General features: G+C 34.8%; 1 annotated feature.

Moving 5' to 3' along the window:
* Positions 1 to 60: a silencer, noted in NCBI's record as "silent region_14584". NCBI's record gives its function as "represses an Ori minimal core promoter by ATAC-STARR-seq in GM12878 lymphoblastoid cells {active_cell/tissue: GM12878}" and the evidence as "EXISTENCE:reporter gene assay evidence [ECO:0000049][PMID:35858748]".

Here is a 9,910-nt window from a genome sequence, read left to right as displayed (position 1 = left end):
CACTTACAGGTAAGAGCTGGCTGCAGCCAATGCAACTGGTTATGTACTTGACCCTTGTTCACTAGGAGAAGCTCTTGTTGCCTCAGGCAATGAGCTAATACATGGAGTACACAATGGTTTGATCTCCCCACTCAGCTCTAGTGTGGGACAGGATGGGTGGAGCTGGACCGGTTAGGCCCAACTACAGGTCCCCAGTGACAAGCATCAGCACCAGCACCAAAGAAGAATGCAGTGGGCAGCCACCATGTGCCCAGAGGTGAGTCTAAAAATGGAATTGGAAAACCTTCCTACCCCCAAGTTCTCAGCATGGGGAATGGGGGTAGCCTAAACTCCTAATCCAGGAGAGTGGATACTCCAGGTGCACGGAGATCTGCCTGGGCATGAAGTGGAGAAGGTCCCACTGCACCACAGTCTCTTCACAGCAAGGGAATGGTGGCTCAGGCTATTAATCCAAACAAGCAGGTGCTCCAGATGTTTGGGGATCTGCCTGGTGATTGGGCAGAGAGGGCCCTGCTTCACCATGGTCTCTGCACAGGAGGACTGGGATGACTTAGGCTACTAGTTCAGGAGAGTGAGTGCTCCAAAAGCTTGGACATCTGCCTAGGCATGAAGCAGAGAGGGCCTCCTCTGCACCCAGATCTCTGCACAGGAAGGGCGTGACAACTGAGGTTGCCAATCCAGGTGAGCAGGTGCTCAGAATACCTGGAGATTTGCCAGGACATGCAGTGAGCATTTAAAGAGTTTAAATTTTAAAAGTTTTTAGAAAAAAAATCCACATAGAATACAACCAAGAGACACAAAGAAATGTTCAGTTATTGGACATTTTTTCTATTATTTTTTTCAGTATTTCTCATTATTATTTTTTGTTGTTGTGTATAGCATCTCTTTACTTTATAAAAGTGATCTTCAGCTTACAGACAAATGGTGGGCCATTCATGTAATATCAACATACCTATACATGACATCTACTACCAAAGACTGATAGTGGTTTTGGGGGTACAATTTGAATTAAGCAAGGCCTCTGATAAAAATAATAGTAAATGTTTATTATTTTAAAGCCGATTAATTTCAATAAGAAAAAACAAAAGTCCAGACATGGTGGTTAATTCCTATAATCCCAGCACTTTGAGAGGGTAAGGCAAGAGGATCACTTGAAGTCAAGAGTTAGAGACCAGACTAGACAACAAAGCAAGACCATGTCTCTAAAAAAACAAAACAAAACAAAAAAATTAGTTGAGTGTGTTGGTGTGTGCCAGCTATTCAGGGGGCTGAGGCAAGAGAATTACTTGAGCTCAGGAGTTCAAGCCTGCAGTGGGCTATGATGGCGCCACTGCACTCCAGCTTGGGTAACAGTGCAAGACCCTGACTCTAAAAGATAGAGAGAGAGATAAAGATAGACAGAAAGATAAAGATAGAGAGAGAGAGAGAGAACATACATTTACTTGTTGGAAGTCATTTTATTTTATCAAGTATCTATACATGTAACTTGATGTCTTTCAACCAAAGTAGACAGGACAGCAATTGTACTGGGCATAAATTCAAGTACACCAGATTTTCCAACAGAATGCAGTCAGCTATTTATTCACTTTTATCTTGTCTATGTGGAGCACTCTGTGTGATATCTGTATTTCTTACTGATCTCAGCAATTTTTTCTGAGGCAAGGATAAAAATATATTCTTTATATGTTCAAAACATCTAGCACAGAGATTTGCACACTGCAGGCCCTTAGTAAATGTGTACTGAGTGAGTAAAGGGCAGAGTTGACTTTCTAAGTTTCTCCAGCTTAGTAGTAGTAGAAGTAGTAACAGCAGTTGCAGTAGCAGCAGTAGCAGTGGCAGTAGTAGTAGTAGTAATAGTAGTAGTAGTATATTTAAGATCTGGGAAAGGAAGTGGGGAGGGAGAGAAATCAGCCTACCTACATCACCCAGAGTCCTATATAATAAAATGCAGAAAATTAGACCTCTAATGAGAGCTTTTGTTCAGGGATAATGTTATAAATGATAGATACAGATATGTCAACTATCTGTATGATAGATATGTTCGACTATTTGTCGATGTTCACAAAAAAGTTTTTTATGTGAATGTGAACCCTTGTAAATTTGAGGGATTCCTAAGTCTGCAAAATCTATCCTGAAGTTTTATTTTTAGTAAATAATGATGTGCAATAAAACAGAAGATATCTATACACATGCCAGCTGTGATTTTTTTATTGTGCTTGGTTTGGTACATATTATAATAAAGAACAGTATATGTGTGTGAAGATAAAGTGATATATGTAACTGGATAAATTAGAACAAGGGAAATACTTTAAAGACAAGGGCGGGAAATGATGGTGGTTTCGTAAGTATGTAAACATAGAAGTCAAGTCTTATGCAAATATTTTAAAGTGTATTGGATCATTAGTCATGGTGAGCCAATAACATATGACATAACAGATGTGCTTCCAGTAGATGCTAGAAAAAAATCTGTAACTTTGTAGAACCACATCCTCCATAGTTATTGGTTAATTATATCCATGCCTATTGATGGAAATCACAGACTCCCACCCAGAGTTTCAATTATGGTAATTGGTTCAATTTATAGACAAGGTGAATTCACTGTATGTGTGTGTACCCTCAACACTCACAAGGATATGTACATATTATTTATTAATTTGAGATCAAACCTCTATATGTTATATTAGAAATTTATCAAATTTGTAGTGAATTTTGAAAATATAAAATTACCTTTGTATTAATTTTTAAAATTTTTTTTCTGGGCTTTGCCTTTCCTTTTCTTTTTGTTCTTCTAAAATACTTTTAAATTATTCTCAGAATCTTTGTATTATAAGGTTTAGCAAGAAGGATGAGAGTCAGGCATAGAAACCTGAATAATATTACCATTCATATTTGTAAATATACCTACCAAACTCTAACAATAATCCTGTATACAGCAACCATGTGTTTTAAAAAATTGAAAATAATTATTATCTTATCTTGATTTTTGATTTGATATACCAGTCATATGTATATAATACTCTAACCACTTATACTTCATTTTTACATGTTGCCTTTTTTAAGGTGTGAAGTTAACAATGCCGGTACATTTTACATCATAGGCACACAAAAATCTCCTTGATCTGGAATTGAAGTAAGTTGAGATGGAAATGATTGAACAGGCTGCTAATGATTAGAGAATGTGCTCACTGCCTCAAGTGTTTCATAACTGTCTCTTTTGGCATCTGCACCAAAGGCGATGTCATTTGAAACAGCTTTATAGAAATGCCACTTCCCTCCACAAACCTTTACTAGTCAGTTTCATGTCATTATATATTCAAAAAAGACTTGTTATGAAAAACAGTCTGAGGCCATATGAGTACTAGTCATGGTTAGAGTGTTTTACTAAGTCATCTTTTTATAATTCCAACTTTAGCTAAAATCTAGCTGTAACTTTAGGATGGCAATAGCGTTATCTGCAACAAAAGATATGTTTGTCTTTTATGAGAAGCAAATTTTATACTCACCATGATACTTTGTATCATTAACTTATGGAAAGTTCATGGATAACTTCATAATCTTTATGTGTATCTATTACACATATAGATATATGAGAAAGAATTGGAGAGATAGTAAGTTAAAAATGTTATGTCAGCATATTGATACCCTTTGGACTGCTGCAGAGTCAAACTTTTAATGTGAAGAATTTAATATAATGATTAACTGTTGCTAGAAGCGTTAAATGCCAGAGAGTCTCACAGGATCTACAAAGGCGAGAGGTCCAGAAGATAAATGTGGTCTCAATGAACTAGAATAACTATTACAAGCACCAATAACTATAGGAAATAGTTCTAAAGGTAGGAAGAGTGTATGGTACCTAATATATTTTATTTTAAGGGACCCTAATATTCTCACCTCTACAAAAAGCAGCTTTTCTATCATGCTTAAAGTCTAATATTTGATTTACCACTTTAAGTTAAGGTAGTGATATGAAGTCAACTGTAATGTATAAAACAAATCAAATTGAGGATAGTAGTGCAAAAGCCCATCGTACTTGAACTTATTTGTAGATGGTTCGCTCCAACTCCTGCTTTCATCCCAACTGCCCAATGGATATCTTTGCTAAGCCATAGGGTTAGAGAACTGCATGTGATATTGTTTCCAAACGACTATGTAATTATATCTATGTGTTTGATATCAAGAGTTATGGTCTTTACTACCCTACTACCGATGTGATAGCTATACTGAGAAATCTTTTGGAAATGGGAAACAATAAAGAAACGTTTGATGAATACTCAGAGAGATATGAAGAGTGAAAAAAGGCCAAAATTTGAACATAAGGACATCTGTTTAACATGAGGCTTTGACTGAAGACTAGAATGTCTGGGGAACAGCTTGTTACATGTGCTTACTGAGCAGGACAGAAATGCTGCCATTCCCTCCAGGATCAGTCCCTTCTATAAGGCACAATATATCCTGCATTTTTATGAAGTAAAAGAAAGAAACAACAATTAACATTTATCAAGTGCTTACTATGTGCCTAAAATTGTACCAGGTGCTTTACTTAAATTATCTCATTTAGAGTTTGTGACAATAGGGATGCTGCTTCTGTCTCCTTTTTGGAGACAATAAAATTAAGAATGAAATAAGAGATTCTATTTAGGGTTTCCTTAAAAAATTTAGATCCATTCTTCATGACTTGGAGATCCAAGACAATTGTTTTGCTTCTAATAATTCTTATTAGTATTTTCAGCTACTATAGGGACATATTTGTTGATATGCTTCTGATTTATTTCTATTTAATCTTAGAGAATTTTAAAGAAAAGCATCTTTTGTTGTTAATTTTTTTTTTTTTTTTTTTTTTTTTGCTTTTTCTCTCTTCATCTTAGGAGAAAACTGGATTTAAACACCAATAGATTGATTTTTGGTTAAATCTTCTAGTCTGTGAGTTTGAATTATATTGTTAGCAAAATCTCACACCTCTTTTTTCCAAGTACTTCCCCAAACCTAAAGTAACGAAAGATAACCAAAAATCTGTCTAAATATAAGAATGCATCTTTGTAGTTTGGTCCAAAGATACAACATATTTTATCTTGATTCATTTTGAAATAAAATGCCCAAGTTTCTAGACTCAATTTACTTACTTAGTTGTGGCCAGGTTACTTAACTCCTTTGAGCATTAGTTTTATCAAGTGGCTTAATTTCTGATAATAGTCCTTATTTTTCTGAAGAAATGGGGCTTGATTTAAAAATGTCTTTTAAAATGTCTTAGGCTGGGCACGGTGGCTCACACTTGTAATCCCAGCACTTTGGGAGGTCGAGGCGGGTAGATCACCTGAGGTCAGGAGTTTCAGACCAGCCTGGTCAACACGGTGAAACCCCGTCTCTACTTAAAAATACAAAAATTAGCCGGGTGTGGTGGCGGGCACCTGTAATCCCAGCTACTCAGGAGGCCGAGGCAGGAGAATCACTTGAACCCGGGAGGCTGAGGTTGCAGTGAGCTGAGATTGTGCCACTGCACTCCAGCCTGGGGAACAGAGGTGACTTTGTCTCAATAAAATAAAAATAAAAATAAAAATAAATACAATGTCTTAAAGTTACTTTCAGCATTAAAAGCTATAATTTTATAATTTCACAGAGCTAACATTAAAAAATGGACATAAGCCGATTCTAGTAAAAGTTGATTTTAAAACATTACTCTCACCTTATTACTCTCCCATATTCTCTTGCACTGTTCTTTTGGTACTTTTAATCATCTGTGCTATGAAGGAAAAGATACACGAAGTCTGGAATCCAGATTTGAGCTCTTACACTCATTTAGGGTGAAGCATGGAGACGTAATATCAATGAATGTAGACTTCCATAACTATAAAACATGAATAATAATGCCTACTTCCCAGGAGAGTTTGAAAGTAAAGTGAAGTGAGCACGAGATATTACTTTATAAACTGTAAACTGCAGAGTAAATATAAGGTCTTATTACCCCACTTGAAATTATAACTTGACCTATCAACATTTAATTTCCACTTCCCCTGGTATGGGTAATATTAAAATGCAGATTGTCTCTCACCAGGAGCAGCTTGGGGGCAGGAGATTATTTTGAGGTGAGCTCACTTATCCAGGAATTGCATAGGCATTGTCCCTGTGCAGTGGCCATGAGAAGATCACTCAAAGCCATAGAAACATACTATTCTTCAAGTTTCTTTAAAATTCATCAAGTTTAAACTTGGTGATTGTGAAACTGATGTTCTCAAGCCTGCTTGCTCCTTGCATTGAATACTAGAAAATTAAATGCATAGCCACTCTTCCTTAGGACAAAGTTATCTTATCTATATACAGTTTTAAAGTGTGGGGATCCAGTACTCATCCACTGATCTTTGCTGCTAAGAACCCAGAGTAAGCTGGCTCTGAAGAGGACAGTACCTTAAATACTTTTATAATTATGTTTTGCATTCTTCCCCCAATCCGACTCCTATAACTAGATACAGAAACTACTCAGTCCTTCAATTATGAGTACTATATAAGTAAATTAAAGGAATCAACATGCATTCTAGAAAAAAGTACAAACAAAAAGCAGTAAAGGAGAAAAGGAATAAAGAAAAAGTGAAATAATGCAAATACCAGAAATCTGTTTTTTCACAGTAGATGAAAATCATGGTCAAATGGCTGGCTATATGTTATCCTATATGAATCAAGAACAAAATAAAAATATAGATGACAAACTATGGAATTTGGGATTATATACTTACAGAACTTTGGGTATTATTCAATCTAGTCTTAATATTTTTAACTTGAGTTTCAGTAGGTGGATCTTGGGGGATGGGATGAAAAGAAGAAATTAAGACCGTCTTCAAAACAAGAAAAAAAGAAGCAGCACAAGGAGAAAAGACACTGTTGGGGAAAAATTAATATGAGAAATGGATGTAAAAATGAGAAGAGTTAATCAAAAAGTCTAAAAAGAGCTCTAAAGAAAACAAATGAAGTAGAAGACAAGCAAAAAAAGAGTCAATATATGAAAAATCTACATTTTCATATAAAATTTTAGTAGATTTTAGATTTTAGTGTGCTAAAGAAGCAAACTAATAAGAGAAATAAATGGTAAAGGTTTACACCTCAAAAAAATTTACCCCAAATTGAAGAAGCTTAAGCAACATAGTTTTAAAAAGCTACATTACAGCCCAGATAAAACTCACAAGAAATAGCAACACAAAGACATATCACAAGAAAATTACAATACTTGAAAGATCAGTAAAGTATTTGAGTAGCAGCCAGACCAAAAATCAAATGCCTTATAACAGGGGAAAAAAATCGTTTTGCTTGTGGCTTCTCCACAGAAACCTTCAACTCATATAAATGCTGTGGAATGAAACCTACAAAATGTTCAAGGAAAGAGTGACCTAAGAATTTTATATTCAGCCTATCCCTCATTATATATACAGGCAACACATAAATATTTTTGAACATGCAGAACTCCAGTATATTTTTCCCATAAACTCTCTTTAGTATCCTACTAGAAGACAAGTATCAGCCAACCAAGAGAAAATTGAATAAATTATAATAAAATAACTGGTGGTGAGTATTGATCATATTTAGCTTGGGACTAAGATTTGAAATATGCAAAAACTAAAGCCTGCAACATAATAAACAATGTTATATGCACTGATAATATAACTAATAAAAATAGTATAACGGAATGTGGCAGGGAAAAAGGATGGGGAATGGAGGTAAACTAAATTGCTGATTTTCTCAGTTTTAAGAGTGGGAGGAGTAATCAGACCTATTATTTAGAAATAAAAATAAATTAGCAGACATACAGGTATGTTTAAGTATGCAAAGATAAGCAAACATTAAGAAAAATAATGCATTGACTGAAACTAAGTGGTGGAGGAAAGAGTAGGGAAAAGAGAAAAGGGAGAAATATGCTAATGTTGTTATTGTTCACAGAAGGAAATTAATAGATACAGTCCCAAGAAAGAGGAGATTAAAGGTATCCTTAAAAAATAAACACTCTAACAAAAACTCAAATCATCTTCTTTATCAGAAATGCACCGTGAATGTATAACATGCACGCACACCTATGCATGAACATGTATATGAAGCCAAGCAAACAGACCACAAAAGATTTTTATAGACATAATAGAACTAAGGTCAAACATGTCTACCATATCAATAACAGCAGATAAACTAAGCTGTTAATTAAAATAATTACTTTCAAATTTGATCTCAAAGTAAAATCCAACTTTATATATTATGCAAGAAACTCCAAATAAACTGACTCAATGTCCACATACAAAAGAGAGACATAATTTTATCAGCCAAAAAAGAAGCAGGAGTTAAGATTTGAATTTCCAACAAGGTTGAATTTAGGCAAAAAGGTGTTATGTGAAAAATACTAATAAGGGTACTTTGTAATGCTAAAGAATGCAAACCACAGTAGAGTTATACACCAAATAACACAAAAAACGTTCAGTCACACAAGAAAATAATCAAATATTGAAAATACAAAATGAAATTTTAATGAAAATATCAAATGCTGATGGGAACATTTAAAATAAAAGCTTTTTACTTCCTGAATAAATTAGAAACTGTATCTATTGCATTCATCAGCACTTTTTTGGTTGCAAGAAACAAAAATTCTGTTTAAGCAAAGTTTACGCTAAAAGCAGCATTCTTTAGAAGATACACGTAACTGTGGCTGGGCTGCACTGAAAACAAGAACCAAAACTGATATGCTGCAAGCAGCAACTTGGTCTCATTGCTGTTTGTCTTCCTTTTCTGCTGAGCACATTCTTCCATGAAGTGGGGAGCCTTGCTGGCAGCTACCTAAGGACCTCACATTTCCACTACCAGAGAGGAACTGAATTGCTGTCTTTGATACACTTTAAAAATCCTAAAGAAGGGTACTCAATAGCCCAGCTTTACTCCAGTGCCCTCCATCCCGGGTCAGTCTGCTATGGCCAGTGGAGACTGTGGCCTCTTTGGTGTAGATTTCCAACCTAAAACAATCACTATGAACAGAGGAGTGAGGAGAATTAAAAGGTGTCTCTCTCAATTTGTCTATTTGATTCCAGTAATTAGAACAGGCAGACAACTTCCTAAAAAACGTAAATATAATTCTGGGCAGAATAAACAACAGGTATATTATGAATCTTTAAAATGTTTATATCTGACAATATTTTTCAGAACTGAACATTGAAAATAATTTAAATGTTTAACACAAGTAGTATATCCATTCAATGTCAGTGACTCAAATTGCTTATAAAGAGTCCATCATTACAGGAAAAGTATTATGATACAAAGTTGGTGAAAAATAGTAATATAATTTTTTAAATTACTAAATTTGAGGCATCCAAAAATACTAGAAGATGCATTAAAATCAGTGGTTTATTTTATATGCTTTTTTCTTTTCCTATACTAAATATGTAATACTTTTATGACAGAATGAAGAAGACTCTTTTTTATATAAAAAAGAATTTTTACCTTTGCCAATTCTTCCTTCCCTCATGTATTTGGGAGAAACCTGGTTGAGGTCATGATTATATCATAAGCAAAGTTTTTCTCGTAAGAGTAATCTAAGAGTCATATTATCATAGTAACTATCAAAGATATGAAGATAAAAGGATATCCTCTCTGTATTCATATTTCTATGATATTTTTTATGTAGGACCACGATGTTATGATAATAATTGCAAAGAACTTTATCGAAGGATCCAAAGGGTAAGAGGGGATGGAGAAGGGCACACATGATCAGAGAGGTGTGAAGATGGATGTAGATTCCTTAAATCCTAAAAGAAAAGGGTCTTCACTACTCTAAGTAGCTTAAATAAGTAAGAAATAGAAATTGTGATATGATTGGAAAATTGAGATTTAAGTGCAGCACGGATAGAGTGCAAGTGCTGTGAATTTAAACACTTTTCCTAGTGTGAAATCTTGT

The sequence above is a fragment of the Homo sapiens genome, chromosome 3, assembly GCF_000001405.40.
Source record: "Homo sapiens chromosome 3, GRCh38.p14 Primary Assembly".
Taxonomy (NCBI): Eukaryota; Metazoa; Chordata; class Mammalia; order Primates; family Hominidae; genus Homo; species Homo sapiens.
The sequence above is the reverse complement of the archived record's forward strand: the minus strand, read 5'-3'. Positions and strand labels throughout refer to the sequence as shown.